The sequence below is a fragment of the Homo sapiens genome, chromosome 1, assembly GCF_000001405.40.
Source record: "Homo sapiens chromosome 1, GRCh38.p14 Primary Assembly".
Classification (NCBI taxonomy): Eukaryota; Metazoa; Chordata; class Mammalia; order Primates; family Hominidae; genus Homo; species Homo sapiens.
The window spans coordinates 205690625-205708147 of NC_000001.11; the positions used below are offsets into that span (position 1 = coordinate 205690625).

Genomic DNA, 17523 nt, shown 5'->3' on the forward strand with positions numbered 1-17523 from the left:
ATCCCAGCACTTTGGGAAGCCAGGCGGGAGGATCACTTGAGGTCAGGAGTTAGAGACCAGCCAGGCCAACATGGTGAAACCCCATCTCTACTATTAATAAAAATACAAAAATTAGCCAGGCGTGGTGGCATGTGTCTATAATCCCAGCTACTTGGGAGGCTGAGGCAGGAGAATTGCTTGAACCCAGGAGGCGGAGGTTGCAGTGAGCTAAGATTGCACCATTGCACTCCAGCCTGGGTGATAGAGTGAGACTCTCTCTCAGAAAAAAAAAAAAAAGAATGCTGGAACATCCCATTTGTTCCCTGGCTGTCCAGAGCTGTTGGTGCAGCAGATGAAACAGCACTTGCAAGCAGTCACACCAAGGTGTGCTTATCATGTGTACTGAGTCTAGAGGACCTGCAGAAGGCACTTGGTCTGCATTTGGAGCAAAGAGCGCCCTCCCTCTACCTCCCTTCTTCACAATACCCCGCCCCCTGCGACACTCCTCTTCCCATTTGTATATCCTTTTTTGTTTTTTGTTTTTTTGAGATGGAGTGTCACTCTGTCGCCCAGGCTGGAGTGCAGTGGTGCGATCTCGGCTCACTGCAACCTCTGCCTCCCAGGTTCAAGCGATTCTTCTGCCTCAGCCTCCTGAGTAGCTGGGTCTACAGGTACACACCACCACGCCCAGCTAATTTTTGTATTTTTGGTACAGACAGGGTTTCACCATGTTGGCCAGGCTGGTCTCAAACTCCTGATCTCGTGATCCGCCCACCTCGGCCTCCCAAAGTGCTGGGATTACAGGCATGAGCCACCGTGCCCGGCCTCCATTTATATATTCTTTCCCACGTTTTTTTTCTTCTTCTTTCCCATTCCCAGTTACTCTTTATTGTTTAACGCCCTCTTTTCCTAGACTTTTTTCTTTTCTCCTTTAATTAATTAGTTAATTAATAAATGAATTAATTTCAGTCTCTCCCAGGGCTTCCATGTACAGTTGTACATGTGATTCACTTCCCAAGCACAAATAGGCATGCCTCATGGTTGCATCTACCTTGTTCTAAGCTGCATAAAAGCACTATATGGACCAGCAGTAGCCCTGGCACTTTCTGTGGGCCAGGTATTGTGCCAGGCACATAGAAATACTTCCTGTCTCTCACTTCCTGTATTCCAGTGGACTCTTCTCCTCCTATCTCCATTTTACTCTTATGCCTACCCCCAGAATAGGTTTTCTGGAAACTTGGTGGAGTGCAAAGATCACAGACTCTGGAGTCAGACAGATTTGGGCTTGCTGGTCAACTCTGCCCTTACTAGCCTTAAACTTTGGGCAAATTGCTGAACTTCGCTGAGCCTAGGTTGCTTCCTCTGTAAAATGGATATTACAGTGTCCATATCACGGGCTGTGAGAGGATCAGAGAATGCTTGGTTTAGTGTTGGACATACAGCACTAAATCATCATTTTCCCCCTGCCCCCCAGTCCCTCCACACCTTTCCCCCTCTGTCCCCCAGCCCCTGGCTAAGGCCTGCTGCCTGTTTCTGTCCCCATTATCCCACCAGTCTGTGTCCGCTTCCCCATTTCCCACTCTTTGAAAATAGCCGTCCCTTGCATGGAAATGGAGCCATTTTCAAAGCACTTCCATAAGCGCCTCACATTTGCTCCTCGGCACTGAGAGTGGGCAGGAAGGGAATCGATTCTGCAATTTATGGGAGGAGGTTCAAGCAGTGGAGATTAAGTGACTTCCAAGAGCTCCATGGCTACCGAGTGGCAGGCCTGGACTAGAGCTTGGGGCCCACTCCCCTTCACACCGAGCTCCCCTTCCAAGGATAAAAGAGAAGAAAGAGAGTGGCACCTGAAGTCCACCACATTCAGAACCTCACCTCCACCATTCCTGCCTTGAGCAGCTGAGCAGCAGAGGAGGGCCAAGACCCTGGAGAAGCTGCAGCACCAGAGTGGGTGGGCAGCAGACCGCTATCACGGTCCAACTGCCAGGGTCGAACAGGAAGGCTGCGCCCTGTCAGAGATGCTGAGATCAGACCACAAGCATGATAGCATCTCCAAGGCCTCCTAGCTGTTGGAAGGGCCTTCCTCTTCTCACTCACTTCTCCTAGATTGGATACAACACCTTGGTGATAGAAGCCTCATCCCCATGGCTGGGCACAGTGTCTCACGCCTGTAATTCCAACACTGTGAGGCCAGAAGTTCGAGATCAGCCTGGGCAATAACATAGCAAGACCCCAGCTCTATAAATATATTTTTTTAATTAGCCAGGCATGATGTCATGCCTATAATCTCAACTGCTTGGGAGGCTGAAGTGGGAGGATCACTTGAGCCCAGGAGGTAGAGGCTGCAGTGATCTATGATTGTGCCACTGCACTCCAGCCTGGGTGACTATGCTTAGGTGTGTGCACATAGATTGTAGCTTGTTCACATGAATATTCCTTCCTGGGCTTTATAGTTTTAAAAGTGGTTTCATGTGCAGCATGTCATTTTGTCCTCACAATGACCTTGGGAGACAGGTATCATTATATGAGGGAAATGTAAACTTAGAGAAGTAGTGGCTCGCCCACGAAGCCACTCAGTGTTGGAACACGTCCTCAACTTCTAGTTATCCATCCAGATCTACTCCTAAGGAAGATGACCCAAGGGGGAAGAGGCTGCTGGATGCTTGGAACTGGGGATGCTGAGAAAGGACAATGTTCTACCTTTGTTACCTGAGAAGTCTGGTAAAACAGGACTTTTCTTCCCTGCAGGGAGCAGGGCAGTGGTGGGGGCTCGGCCCAGCCCTCCAGACTTCCCAGAGATGGTGGAGGAAGGACAAGGGGAAAGAAGGAAGCATTCAAGTGGTGGGCTGGCTGCACGGCCACACTCCTGCACTGCACTGCACTGTGCCCTAGCCCCCGCACTTAGGAGGGCAGCCGGTGTTTCCTCCTACTTTCAACTTCCTGTTCATCCCCAGTACCCTGGCCTTTGCAAGGACAGAGCCTTTGCGTTTGCATTTAAATTCCTGTCCCTTCTCTGCACAGCCCTGTGAATTTGCACACATACCCCCACCCCCAAGGCCACACAGCAGCCTTCTTCAATGTCGTTGGCTCCATCAGCCCTGGTGTCTCTGCCACACGAAGGGGGAGCCTCCCACGGTGATTATAAGCTCCCTAGAGAGAGAGACCTGTCATTAGGAGCAGACTTTCCACCTCCCTGAAGCGGCTGGCTCTCCTGCTTTTCCTAAGAATAATCTACCAGGGCTCTCGCAGACTGCCCGCCTACATGGGGCCTGCAGTGCGGATGTGCAACAGCCTCTGGGAGGAGAGAGGGTTCCCAGGGCTCCCACTTGGGGTGGGTCGCCTCTGTCTTGGAGAGCTGATGTCTGGAAGTCCAGCTACTTTAACCATGCCACCCTCCCTACCTTCTGGAGAAAACTAAGCCCAGGAAAAAGGGAGGTCAGAGGAGCTGCCACAGGGCAAGTGGCTCCTGGGGGGGCTTCCCTCTGTGGGGGCTTCCCTCTGGGGGCTCCTTCCCTAAAACGCTTAGGAGGTGTACAGCTCCCTCAAGCTCTCTCTGGGCTCCAGGAGGCTGGCAGTGCCTCTGCAGCCAGAGGTAAAACAGAACCTTCTGAAGCATGCAGCAGAGAGCCCTGAAAGAGAAACAGTCCCCTGAGGTTGGCCTGTCCTCTCCTTGCCACCATGCAGTCTCTTAGACAAGCTCCTTATTAGAATCCGTAAAGAGTCAGATGGGAAATATTGCAGGGGCTATATGGTCTCCATCGCAACTACTCACCTCTGTGCTTGTAGCACAGAGCAGCCACAGATAATACAGAAATGAATGGGTGTTGCTGTGTTCTAATGAAACTTTATTTATGCACACTGAAATTTAAATTCATACAATTTTCATGTGTCATGAAATATTCTTCTTCTTTTGATTTTTTTCAACCACTTAAAAATGTAAAACCATTCATCGCTCAGGGACCATACAAAACCCAGCAGTGTGGCTGGGCGTGGTGGCTCACGCCTATGATCCCAGCACTTTGGGAGACCGAGGCGGGTGGATCATGAGGTCAGGAGATCGAGACCATCCTGGCCAACATGGTGAAACCTCATCTCTAATAAAAATACAAAAATTAGCTGGGCGTGGTGGCATGCGCCTGTAGTACCAGCTACTCAGGAGGCTGAGGCAGGAGAATCGCTAGAACCCAGGAGGCAGAGGTCACAGTGAGCCAAGATCACGCCACTGCACTCCAGCAAGACTCTGCCTAAAAAAACCAACCAACCAAACAAAAAACAAAAACAGAAAACAAAACAAAACAAAACCTGGCGGTGGCCTGGATTTAGTCTGTGGATGGTGGCATTCTGTTTATCCCTCCATCAGGGTTGCCTCGTATTGCAGCCTCCTTAAATGAAGAGCATGATACAGTTGATTAAAGGAATGGAGGCAAGATTATTGTGTAACGGCACCCAGACTCTGTTTTACTATCTCTGGATAACCACGTGGATTATTTTTAATCCATATCTATTTTGCACTTTCATGTAATTCTCTCCTCCTCACCACAATCTTAGAAGCTAAGCGATAGCATTTCTGTTTTACAGATGGGGAAAATTAAATTCAAAGAAGTAAAGTAACTTGTCTGGGATTACACAGCTAATATATGGCAAACCTAGGATGCAAACCTAAACTTGTCTGGTTTATTTTGTTCCTATACTTGGTTTTCTAGTCTCCGAGGCCAGCGTTCTGCCCACAAATGGGCCTTCTCCAATCTCACTGCAATATCAGAGGGATTCATTTATCACCCAGTGAAATATTTGGCTGGGTGCAGTGGCTCACGCCTGTAATCCCAGCACTTTGGGAGGCTGAGGCGGGCAGATCACGAGGTCAGGAGTTCAAGGCCAGCCTGACCAACATGGAGAAACCCCGCCTCTACTAAAATACAAAAAAAAAAAAAAAAAAAAAATAGCTGGGCATGGTGGCGTGCGCCTGTAATCCCAGCTACTCGGGAAGCTGAGGCAGAAGAGTTGCTTGAATCCCGGAGGCAGAGGTTGCAGTGAGCTGAGATTGCACCACTGCACTCCAGCCTGGGCGACAGAGTGAGACTGCGTCTCAAAAAAAAAAAAAAGAAAGCCAGAGTACGAGAGGCGTAAATGGGGTGAGATAAGTGGGCAGAAACTAGACCATATGTATTTCATTCTCACACAACAGGAAGACATTAGAAGGAGTCAAGCAGAGGAGTAACATGATGTAATTGACTTAAAAAAAATTTTTTTTGAGACAGTGGCTTCCTCTGTTGTCCAGGCTGGAGTGCAGTGGCGCCATCATGGCTCACTGTAGCCTCAACCTCCCTGGCTCAAGTGAATCTCCTGCCTTAGCCTCCCTAAGTGCTGGGACTTATAGGTGGGAGCCACTGCACCTGGCCATAATGTACATTTTTATTTTTATTATTTATTTATTTATTTTTTTAGACAGAGTCTCTCTCTGTTGCCCCTGCTGGAGTGCAGTGGCGTGATCTTGGCTCACTGCAACCTCCGCCTCCCAGATTCAAGCAATTCTCCTCAACCTCCCGAGTAGCTGGGACTACAGGCACACGCCAACATGCCCGGCTAATCTTTTGTATTTTTAGTAGAGACAGGGTTTCACCATGCTGGCCAGGCTGGTCTCAAACTTCTGAACTTGTGACCTGCCTGCCTCGGCCTCCCAAAGTGCTGGGATTACAGGCATGAGCCACCACGCCCGGTCTACCCATAATGTACTTTTTTTTTTTTTTTGAGAGGGAATCTCGCTTTGTTGCCCATGCTGGAGCGCAGTGGCATGATCTAGGCTCACTGCAACCTCTGCCTCTTGGGTTCAAGAGATTATCCTGCCTCAGCCTCCTGAGCAGCTGGGATTACAGGCATGCGCCACCATACCCAGCTAATTTTTTTTGTTGTTGTATTGTTAGTAGAGACAGGGTTTTGTCCTGTTGGCCAGGCTGGTCTCGAACTCCTGACCTCAGGGGATCCTCCCACCTTGGCGTCCCAAAGTGCAAGGATTACAGGCGTGAGCCACCATGCCCAGCCCCATAATGTACATTTTTAAAGGTCATTTTGGGAGGTATAAATTTGGCTCCAGTTAGGACCTGAGAGGTGCCAGAGGCAGGAAGAGTAGATGAGAGCAGGAAACAGAGACTCGAGAGCCTATAAGCCCGACTTTTTTTTTTTTTTTTTTGAGACAGGGTCTTGCTCTGTCACCCAGGCTGGAGTGCAGTGGCACAATCATAACTCACTGCAGCCTTGAACTCCCAGGCTCAAGTGATCCTCCTGCCTCAGGAGGGATCAATAAAACCAGTGAAAAAAGTAATGATTGGCACAAAGAAGTTTGGAATAGAACAGAAAATGTGCTGTGACCACTAGAGTGGTGGGGAGGGCCTTGAATGAGGTGGAAGGGCTCTTTTAGACTGGCCACATCCAAAGCAAACTCTGTCTCTATCCTCCTCCTTCTATCTCCCCTACCCCATGCCCACTCTGGAGGAGGCAAGACCGGAGGCCCAAAGGGCGATGGGAGAGAGAACTGGCAGACCACGCATCCAGGAGCACAGTGGCCTGTTGCCCCTGGTCACCACCACCACTGGCTTCAAAGGCCAGGGGCTCTTCCCAGCCACATCTCTGGCTCCAGGGGGAAGCAGGAGGAAGTCAGGAGCTGGGAGGTGCCAGAGGCAGGAAGAGTAGATGACAGCAGAAAACAGAGACTCAAGAGCTTATGATCCCCTTCTGTTCCAAAAGACGCGAAGGGAGGTAACCCATGTTCAAAAGAAACAAGAGTGGGAACAAGGAAAGGAGGGTTCTATTTCCCCCCATTCCAGTGGCCTAGGGCTGGGGAACAGTCCCATGATGGGATCAAAAGGTCAAGTGTCTTCGTGAGATCAAAGGTAGCCCTGGGAGGAGGGCTGTGCAGGGCCAGGCACTTTCTGGAAGGCGTTGGAGGGACCAAGGACTTTGGCTGCTTGGGGTTTGGAATCTGAAGAGGGGGTGGTTTGGTGGATGGTTTGCATTTGCTGGGCTGGAGGAGAGGGGCAGGCGAGCATCTTGTCCAACACACCCTGGTAGCTGCTCCAAAGAGGGATGCACACTGTCTGTGTCAGGCCTTTAATAAAGTAAGGAGAAGCTCACCTTGAAAGCAGAAAAAACAGAGTGTGGAGTACCCAGCCAAGCAGTAACTGAACTAGTGACCCCTTGGGCCAAACCCTATTTGTGAATTCCTGCTCTGCTTTGAGGCAATCCCTATGCTCCAAAGAGGGGGCCTGCATCTAATTCAGTCCACTTCTGAGTCCAGTCTCCCTGCCTGAGTTCAGTCTGTCCTCTGTCTTACTCGTATGCCCCCTACAAGCTTTCTTTAAACCAAACTCCTTTTCAGAGGTCTTTCCTGACTAGCCAGCCCCAAAATCTTTTTCTTTTTTTTCTTTTTTTTGAGATGGAGTCTTGCTCTGTCGCCAGGCAGGAGTGCAGTGGCACAATCTTGGCTCACTGCAACCTCCGCCCCCCAGGTTCAAGCGATTCTCCTGCCTCAGCCTCCCTAGTAGCTGGGACTACAGGCGCAAGCCACCATGCCTGGCTAATTTTTGTATTTTTAGTAGAGACAGGGTTTCACCACATTGGCCAGGCTGGTCTCAAACTACTAACCTCAGGTGATCCGCCTGCCTCAGCCTCCCAAAGTGCTAGGATTACAGGTGTGAGCTACCAAGCCCGACTTTTTTTTTTTTTTTTTTTTTGAGACAGGGTCTTGCTCTGTCACCCAGGCTGGAGTGCTGTGGCACAATCATAACTCACTGCAGCCTTGAACTCCCAGGCTCAAGCGATCCTCCTGCCTCAGCCTCCTAAATTGCTGGGACTGCAGACATGAGTCACTGCACCCCTAATATCTATTACTTCTTTACTTGCCATTAGGGTGGGGAGGCAGAAAGGAAACTAATATTCATTCAGGGACTACTGTGAGTCAAGAACTTTATGTATCCTATTTTACTCATTGCTCAGGACTCTTATGAGAAAGATACTATTATATCTTCATTTTACAGGTTAGAAAATGTAGTCTCAGAGAGATTAAGTAATTTGCGCAGAACACACAGCTAAAAAGTGGTGGAGGCGGGGTTTGAATAAGGTGTTCCCAAAGCCCCTGCTGTCATCACTGTTAGAGCTGCTTCAGGATTCCTGTAACCTGCATGTATATCATTTCACACACTGTCCCATGCCATGTCCACTGTCACTCTCACCCATATATTATCATTTGTTCACTATATGTAATTTTGGCCTCCTGTAGTCCCAACTGCTTAATACTAATCATGACCATGCGTCCTTTGATCAATCCTTTCATCAGACTGAGCCTTGATTTTTGGCTCATTGTTCGTGGAAATGACCACCCCCCACCGTCATTCTTGCTTTCTTCCCTACTCCCACCTGGACTACAGTGCTAGAGCAGATTGTCCTGAGTCATTTCCAAGGAACACTGACTGAGGATCTGATGTGTGCCCGGCACGATACTGGCACTGGATAGACAAGCATGTAAAAACTTGATGTTCATATAAAAATGAACTGTCACATAAATGTCCATAGCAGCCTTATTTGTATAGCTCCAAATGGAAAACAACCCAAATGTCCTTTGACAGGTGAATGTTCAAACAAACTCTGGTACTAATATACCACAGATTACTACTCAGCAATAAAAAGGAATGAACTATATCTTTTTTTTTTTTTTTTTTTTTTTTTTTTGGACAGAGTCTTGCTCTGTTGCCTAGGCTGGAGTGCAGTGGCATGATCTCGGCTCACTGCAACCTCTGCCTTCTGGTTTTAAGCAATTATCCTGCCTCAGCCTCCCGAGTGGCTGGGACTACAGGTACACACCACCACGCCCAGCTAATTTTTGTATATTTTGTAGAGATGAGGTTTTGCCATGTTGCCCAGCCTGGTCTTGAACCCCTGAGCTCAAGCAATTTGCCCACCTGGCCTCCAAAAGGGCTGGGATTACATGTGTGAACCACCGTGCCCAGCCAGGAATGAACTATTGATTTATGCCATGACTTGGATGAATCTGTAGGGAATTATGCCAAGAGAAAAGCCAATCCCTAAAAGTCACATGCCATATGATTCCCTTTATATAAGGTTTTTGAAAGAAAATTTAGAATTGGAGGGCAGAATAGTAGTTGCCAGGAATCAGGTACAGAAAGGGGAATGGGAAGGGAGGAAGTGTGGTTTTAAGACGGCAACATAAGGGACCTCTTCATGTTATAACTGTTCAGAATCTGGATTGAGGTGGTGGATACTCACATGTGGGTGATGAAATTGTATAAAACTCAACACACACACACATACAGGTACAAATAAAACAGGAAATCTGAATAAGGTTGTTGGATTGTATCAGCGTCAATATCCTGGTTGTGATATTTTACTGTAGTTTTGCAAAATGTCATCAATGGGGGAAACTGGGCAAGTATACAAGGGATCTCTCTGTATTGTTTCTTATAACTGCATGTGAATCTACAATGATCTTAATAAAAAGTTTAATTCAAAAAAAGACTTGAGGCCGGTGCGGTGGTTCAGGCCTGTAATCCCAGCACTTTGGGAGGCCAAGGTGGGCAGATCACTTAAAGTCAAGAGTTTGAGATCAGCCTGGCCAACATGGTGAAACCCTGTCTTTACTAAAAATAAAAAAATTAGCCTGGCCTGGTGGTGCACACTTGTAATCCCAGCTACTCAGGAGGCTGAGGCAGAATTGCTTGAACATGGGAGGCAGAGGTGGCATGATCCCTCAGTGAGCTGAGATCACGCCACTGCACTCCAGCCTGGGCGACAGAGCAAGGCTCCATCTCAAAAACAAAACAAAACAAAACAAAATAAAACAAAACAAAACAAAAAACCAAACACAAAAGACTTGAAAGGTCTCCTGCCCTCAAAGGGCTTGTACTCTCAACTGTGTTTCCGGTTTCTTTCTTCTGCCTGTTTCTCTTATCTAGCTGAATGCCATCGATGCACAACAAATGACTGTCCTGATTTTCTTCCGGGAAGACATTGCTAAATGATTGGTGAAGGACCATATATTCAGGTTACTCCTCTTCCTGATTTCCCCAATCCCAGTCTCTTCAACTTTGGCATTTTATTTTTTTAAAGGAGAATTGGGAGGTGGGAAGCTCTTAGAACCTTCAGGATAACCCTGTTTCTTGTTTGTGTTTGACCTGTTCATGTGTATGATAGAGAAATAGAGAGGCAGAGTATGAAATTTTTGTGTTTTTTGGAGGGTGGGTGGCTGAAAGAGAAGAGGCCAGAGATTTTCTCTTGTGTAATCCCACATTGCCAGGCTCCCAGCTGACCAGCTTCCATCTCACTGTAGGTGTTGAAGAGACCATGGAACCACTGTGGGTCTCTCTCTCTCTCTCTCTCTCTCTCTCTCCTTTCCAGTAGTGGAAAGAGGAAAGGTGCCCAGAACCCTCACATCCTGGAATCTGCTCCATGAGTAACCTCTCTAGGGAAACAGCAGCCCAGCTGTTTCCTGGACCGGTAACTTCTCTCCCCAGCCCCCCTCACCTATAGTCCCCAACTGACTGTTTTCTGAAACCACCTCCCAGAGACTGTGCTGACTGAGGGAGGCCCTGGAGGGAGAGGAAGATCTTGCAGCCTTGTCCTGGGACTTCAGCCAATCTCCCCTGCCTCCCCCACTGTGTCCCTGCCCCCAACCCCAGCCAAGCTTAGAGCAGCCGGCTCTGTCCCCAGCAGCTGTACACAGCAGGGGTGGGGGACAGTCACACTCCCTCACTCCTAGGCTGCAGCTGAGGGGCTGTGAATAAAAAGCTTGGCTTCCTCAGGGGTCTGGTTGACATCCAGCCTGTATCCACCACCTAATCCCATCCTTTGCTTGGGTTTTCTCAACGTATCCATGTCCTGGCCATGCCCAGTGGCAGGTCTGGAGGCTCCTGCTGGCAGAAGGAAATGGTTCCTGTCTCCAGGTGGGGCCGGGCACCCCTCAAGAGGGTTGGGAAGGCAAGAAGTAGAAGCAGCTGCTTCCTTTTTTGTCCTTCCCAGATACCCATGATGAGGGGGCACCAGGGACTTGGGTTTCCCAGCTTAGCTGAGAAACTATTTCCTTTCATTAAAGAGGCATGTAATTAGCTGGGGGAAATGGGAGGACCCTGGAGAGTGAACACATCCTTTGGTGCATTGACAAGAGAGGGGCTCCAGAGTGATGAGAAGCCCCTGTTTCAGCCCCCCACCCTCCCAAACACACAAAAATTCCACACTCTGCCTCTCTGTTTCTCTATCATACACATGAACAGGCCAAACACAAACAAGAAACACTAGGTGTGCCCTAGGGTACATAGAATTCCAAAAATCTTGCTGCATTAGGAGCACTGTGCGGCAGGAGGCAGGCAGATGCAAGCCCAGCCCCAGCTGTAAGTCCTAGTTGTGCGTTCCTAGAGGTGCTGTGCCTCCTCGTGATCCTTTTCTTCCTGCTTCTAGTCCAGGTCTGGGTTGCCAGATGGACTGCAGTGGTCAAGGTGAAAAAGCAGAGGTTTCCTGGGGCTCCTTAAGCTAGGCAGGGCAAGTGGGGCCAAGGGTTGGGCTTCTTCTCTTGAAGGCAGCTTTGTCCCTCGCTCTTTGATAAGACCTATAGAATGAAAAACTCAAGACCAAATCACTAGAAAAAAAATTGTAGGAAACACTTAGATCAGTGTTGTCAATTGAGGCAATTTTATTCCCCAGTGGACATGTGGCAGTGTCTGAACACTTTTCTTTTTATTTTTTTTAATAACAACTAGAAGGCTGGGCGTGGTGGCTCACGGCTGTAATCCCAGCACTTTGGGAGGCTGAGGTGGGCAGATCACAAGGTCAGGAGTTCGAGACCAGCCTGGCCAACATGGTGAAACCCATCTCTATTAAAATTACAAAAATTAGCAGCGCGTGATGGCGCACGCCTGTAATCTCAGCTACTTGGGAGGCTGAGGAAGCAGAATTGCTTGAAACCGGGAGGTGGAGGTTTCAGTGAGCCGAGATCCTGCCACTGCACTCCAGCCTGGGAAAAAGAGTGAAACTCTATCTCAAAAAAACAAAACAAAGCAAAACAAAACAAAACAAAATGACTAGGGAAGAGAGTGCTATTGGCATCTGATAGGTAGAGGCCAGGGTTGCTGGTAAACATCCTACAATGCACAGGACAGCTCCCCAAAACAAAGAATTATCTGTCAATTCGTGCTAAGGTTACAAAATCCTGATTTCGGCTGGGGTGGTGGCTCACTCTATTGCACTCCAGCCTTGGTGACAAGAGTGAAATTCTGTCTCAAAAAAAAAAAAAAAAGAAATCCTGATTTAGATAAACCAACATTTGTCTGACTCCTTATGATAAAAATTTCTCCTTCCTCCCCATCCTACAGGAAACAAAAAAAAAGCCCCACAAAACTGTCCACTTAACAATATATTACTTCCTGATCACTTTGGGTCAATTTTTCTTCTCTCAAGAAAAAAAAAAAAATGGAAGCAAAGCTCCCCACTAACAAAAAATTTGTCCTCCACCTAGCTGGCAGATCAGCTTGCATCCCCTTCCACAGTGGCACATTAAAAAAAAAAAAAAAAAAAGGAGAAACACAGCCAAATAATAAAACAATATCTTCTGTAAGTAAAGAGTACACCCCTGTTTACCTGGTCGCCACTGTTTATTCTGAAAGACTACACTAAGCAAATACTGAGCCTGACAGCTAGGCTGGAGGGGAGGGGTCTCTAGGCCACAAAGGTGCAAAGCCCTCTTTCAGATCCATCTCCACCATTTCCCTTCAGGATGGTGGGTGCAGGACCACCCCTAGCCATGAGCAACTTGAGTTCCTAGAGGGAGGTGGTCCTTTTCTTCATGCTTCATGCTTCTTGTTCACTTTCTATTCACCATCAGCTCTTCCCTACCTCCCCGCAAGACTGAGAGCCTGTAGTTCTACAAGGCTGACAATCAAGAGTCTATCCACCTATGTGTGGATGTGGATGTGAATTCCAGGCCTCCCCACCACACTCTGACTCTGCTAAGCCCCTGTAGGGAGGCGGAGGTGAGCCAAAAGCTGACTGGTGGGAAATACCCAGTGTGGCCTGTCTTCCTCTCCAAGGCTCAAATAAACTCAAGTCATCTGCACCAAGGGAGCAAGGGAAAAGGAACAAGAAAGCTGTGTGGGGTTATTCTGCATCTCACCTGCCCACCACCTGCCCTTCCCTCCTTTTTAGGAATCCACTGCAGCATTGGAGAGAGAGGCCTAAGAGGGAGCTCACTGTACTCCCAACCCATCCCTCTGCCCAGCTCTTATTATTATGGTCCCATTTCCTAGGGTAGAGCTTCCACATTCAGTGTCTCACAAGGGGTACTAGTTACCTATCATTTCCATCATGCCCTCCACCCACCACCTAACCAGGGAGATCTGACCAGGCAAGAGAATGTTGTGAGGCCGACCTGATTGTTGCCCTTCTGAATGTTAGGGCATTCCAACAGAGACCTCTGCCTGGCTCCATCCACAAGTATCAGAATGTCATAAGAAGTGTGTTGTTTGCCAGATAGTTCACAGAACAAGTATAAGTTAACAGATAGCGTCTGAAGCAAGGCACCCAGGGAGGCACAGAGGAACGCAGGAGCGCTGAGACATGGTGGATGGTAGGATTCCAACCTGCCCTCCTTTCCCCTTATTTACCCAGTTTGCGCCATCATCCCACCCTCCAGAGAAAATACGGAGACAGGGAACGTCCCTCGGCAGCAAGAATGAAAGGTACGGTGGCTCAGCAACCAAGGCTGCTCCTTGTTTCTGCTACTGATGTCCTATTAACTTCTTATCTTCCAGGGTGAAGATATTACTGCAAGGCCTTTTGCCAGGCAGTTTCATGTATGATCCTTACTACAACCCTGAGAAGTAGATGTTACTGACCTGGTTAACAGTCTCAGAAACTGAGACTCAGAGAGATTGTGTTCCCAAAGACCCAGCTGGTTAGCAGAGAGCCAGAACTCAGACCTAGGTCCCTGACTTTCTGTCTAGAGTTTTTCCCACTGTTTCTCTTTTCATCTATTTTTGGTCAATTCACTGCTCCCTGATGCTTCTGCTGGAGGCTCTATATTCTGGGAAACAAGCGAAGGCAAGCAAAATGCAGCCAATCAGTGCTGACCTTAGTCAATAAAAAGGTTGCAGACAGTTGTGGTTGTCAGGCTTTGTTGCTTAACCATCTCTAGACCTCTGTTTCTTTCTCTGTAGATTGGGGACAGTAATATTACCTGTATCTCATGGGACTGTGGTGAGGATTCAATGATAAAAGGCAGGACAAGTGCTCAAGAGGATGCCTTGAACATAGTAAGCCCTCAATAAAGGGGAGCTGCGGTTACTACTAAGACAGTGTTGGAGAAAGTACAAGAGCCACAGTTTTTCCAGGGTAAGAGGTAGATTATTAAAGGCTGATACTGTATATGTTCTCTTAGCTCCTCTCTTGAACATAAACATCTGTGGTTTGTCAAAGACATTTTCAGGATCCGGTTTTCTTTTTAGAAAGAGGAAGGAAAAAAAACCCAAGGCCTGAATCTATAGGAAGTCCAAATGCACCCAGGATTCTTAAGTCACAAGATAAAAAGTGGAGATGCTTGAAGAGGCATCTGATAGTGGAATTCATGGAAGAGGAAAAGGTCAGTTCCATCTCTAGTGACTCCAACAGAGGGATGAAACATCCAAGAATGAAGAAAATTATTTCCAGGAATGGCAAATGAGGATGGAACCATAGGATATAGTTATTATTGTTAAACCAAACCCAGTGCAATAATTGGTCTGTCTCAATAACATCACTCCGGCCAAGTTGCCGTTTCCAAGAAGGAAAGAATAAGAATTTAGTCCAGCTGATTCTTCGGCATGATTTAAACCAGCAGTGGTTGTCAAACCTTAGTGTGCCTCAGAATCAACTGGAGGGCTTGTTAAATCCAAACTGCGAAGTCTCATCCCGAGTTTCTCATTTAATGGATTGGGGGTGGGACCCGAGTTTGCATTTTGAACAAGCTACCAGCTGATGCTGAGACTGCTGGTCCATCCAGGGACCACATTTCGAGAACCACTGATTTAAAGCACTTTTCTATGGGCAATCAAAGAATATCAAATTGCATAATTCTTTTTTATTTTTATTTTTGAGACGTAGTCTGGCTGTCGCCCAGGCTGGAGCGCAGTGGTGCGATCTCGGCTCACTGCAAGCTCCGCCTCCCGGGTTCACGCCATTCTCCCGCCTCAGCCTCGCGAGTAGCTGGGACTACAGGCGCCCGCCACCACGCCCGGCTAATTTTTTTTGTATTTTTAGTAGAGACGGGGTTTCACCGTGTTAGCCAGGATGGTCTCGATCTCCTGACCTCATGATCCGCCCACCTCGGCCTCCCAAAGTGTTGGGATTACAGGCGTGAGCCACCGCCCCAGCCTCAAATTGTAGAATTCTTAATACCTTGCTTCTCAATATGTATAACAGTTGCATTTACTTATTAGCCTCTCTCCTCTCTTCAGTCACATTGATTAGAAAATGAATACGTGTTTCTCAATTAAGAATCTTATGGTAAGGCCGGGCGTGGTTCCTCACGCCAGTAATCCCAGCACTTTGGGAGGCCGAGGCGGGTGGATCACGAGGTCAGGAGACTGAGACCATCCTGTCTAACACGGTGAAACCCCGTATCTACTAAAAATACAAAAAATTAGCCGGGCGTGGTGGCGGGCGCCTGTAGTCCCAGCTAGTCGAGAGGCTGAGGCAGGAGAATGGCGTGAACCCGGGAAGCGGAGCTTGCAGTGAGTCGAGATCGCACCACTGCACTCCATTCCTGGGAGAGAGAGTGAGACTCTGTCTCAAAAAAAAAAAAAAAAAAAAAAATTATGGTAAAACAGGAAAAATCAAGAGCAAAAAACCCAAAACAAAGAAACTTCCTGTGCAAGTCTGACTGACATAACAAGAACTAACTTGGCTTGTCAAGTAGGTAGACACAGGGGGCTCCAGAAGCAGAGGTGCTTATTTCTCACTCTACTCCTTCACCATTGAACACCTTCAGACTGAGAATTGGCCTTGCCTATGTTTATCTCCAACTAAGTTAGCATTCTGACTCCACAAGAATGTTGTGAAAGCGAAGCCTGGGGAAAGAATGCTATCCTAGTTTTCAGCTAAGTTTTCTTAATATCATACTCTTCAGAGGGAACAAAATCCAGTTCTCACGACCTTAAATGCTGACACTTGTCCAAAAGGCCTAATGAGGGAGAAGCATGCGTCATGCACATTAACAGAACTCAGTGATAGAAATTGGGTTGAGACAAGTGAAAATTTTACCAAAGCCAAATGACTAGTTCTATCTCCTTCAGCAAGATAACATGACAAGAGGAACTTCAGACTTCTGAGAGTTATCTTATCAATCCAAGAAGCACAAATGATGATCTTAGCAATCTAGAGGAAGAGGGTATTACAAGATAACAGGCTCCTGACCAAAATTTCAGTATTTATACAGTCTGTTACTCAACTTACATAAATCAAACTTTTAAAAACGGCCTCTTCACTATGTTGAAATTGGGTCTTTCTTCCCCAAAGATTGAAGAGAATTTGCGGGGGATGAGGGCGGTGTCTATCTTATAGCTTGTCCCTGGGGTTCAATTGCCAAAATGTTATCAGTCTATGTAAGGGTCTCATGATAGGGGCCACCCACAAAAAGCATTCTAGTGAGACTTCAGTATTGTGAGAACACAGGATGTCACATTTCATCAGTAAAACAGCCCAGCTGAGCCCCAGGATTCTGTCCCCAATCATGGCTCCAGTAAGTTTTGTGGCTTCCTTTCTGGTATTGAACTTGAAAGATCAAGGACACAAAAATAGGATGATTTCATAGACTGAAAATATGCTATTGACAAGTATTTGTAATAGGTTTCCAGTCCAAAATGAATGTTCTCTCACTTGTAATATATATCCCATAACTAGAAATACAGTTTGAAACCATTGGATAAAATTATTTTTTTCCTAGGAGAAGCTAAAGAAGCATTCAAGATCCAATCAATAATTCTGTGTACGTACACTGGGAAAAAACAAAACAAAACAAAACAAAACTTTTACTAGTGCAGGTGACTTGGAAGTTACTGTCACTCTTCCCTCCCCTCTAAAACCATCCTATACTGTGAGCTGGTTAAAGTTTACCTTTCTGCAAGAGTAAGTGTTCTTACTAATAAATAACTCATTTATACTTCAGAGACAAAGCTAAAAGGATTTCAGTTCTGCAGGAATGAGGTTTTCAGCCCCCATAAACCTTGCCTGGAGGTACATCGCTGCTTTTGTTTGAGGCTAGTTGGTCTACAGTGCCAATAGCAACATATGTGCATAGACAGCCTGTGTTCTAGGCATTAAGTACCCATGGCCTCACTTATTCTCATAATGTCCTTTTGGTTTGTTTTTTTTTTTTAGATGGACTCTCACTTTGTCACCCAGGCTGGAGTGCAATGGCGCAATCTTGGCTCACTGCAACTTCCATCTCCCGGGTTCAAGCAATTCTCATGCCTCAGCCTCCCGAGTAGTTGGGATTACAGGCGCCTGCCACCACAC

General features: G+C 47.3%; 3 annotated features.

Moving 5' to 3' along the window:
* Positions 2525-3074: an enhancer, noted in NCBI's record as "H3K4me1 hESC enhancer chr1:205662277-205662826 (GRCh37/hg19 assembly coordinates)". NCBI's record gives its function as "activates a minimal SCP1, AML or CMV promoter by ChIP-STARR-seq in naive H9 embryonic stem cells {active_cell/tissue: H9 hESC(naive)}" and the evidence as "EXISTENCE:reporter gene assay evidence [ECO:0000049][PMID:30033119]".
* Positions 10263-10764: an enhancer, noted in NCBI's record as "H3K4me1 hESC enhancer chr1:205670015-205670516 (GRCh37/hg19 assembly coordinates)". NCBI's record gives its function as "activates a minimal SCP1, AML or CMV promoter by ChIP-STARR-seq in primed H9 embryonic stem cells {active_cell/tissue: H9 hESC(primed)}" and the evidence as "EXISTENCE:reporter gene assay evidence [ECO:0000049][PMID:30033119]".
* Positions 10765-11264: an enhancer, noted in NCBI's record as "H3K4me1 hESC enhancer chr1:205670517-205671016 (GRCh37/hg19 assembly coordinates)". NCBI's record gives its function as "activates a minimal SCP1, AML or CMV promoter by ChIP-STARR-seq in primed H9 embryonic stem cells {active_cell/tissue: H9 hESC(primed)}" and the evidence as "EXISTENCE:reporter gene assay evidence [ECO:0000049][PMID:30033119]".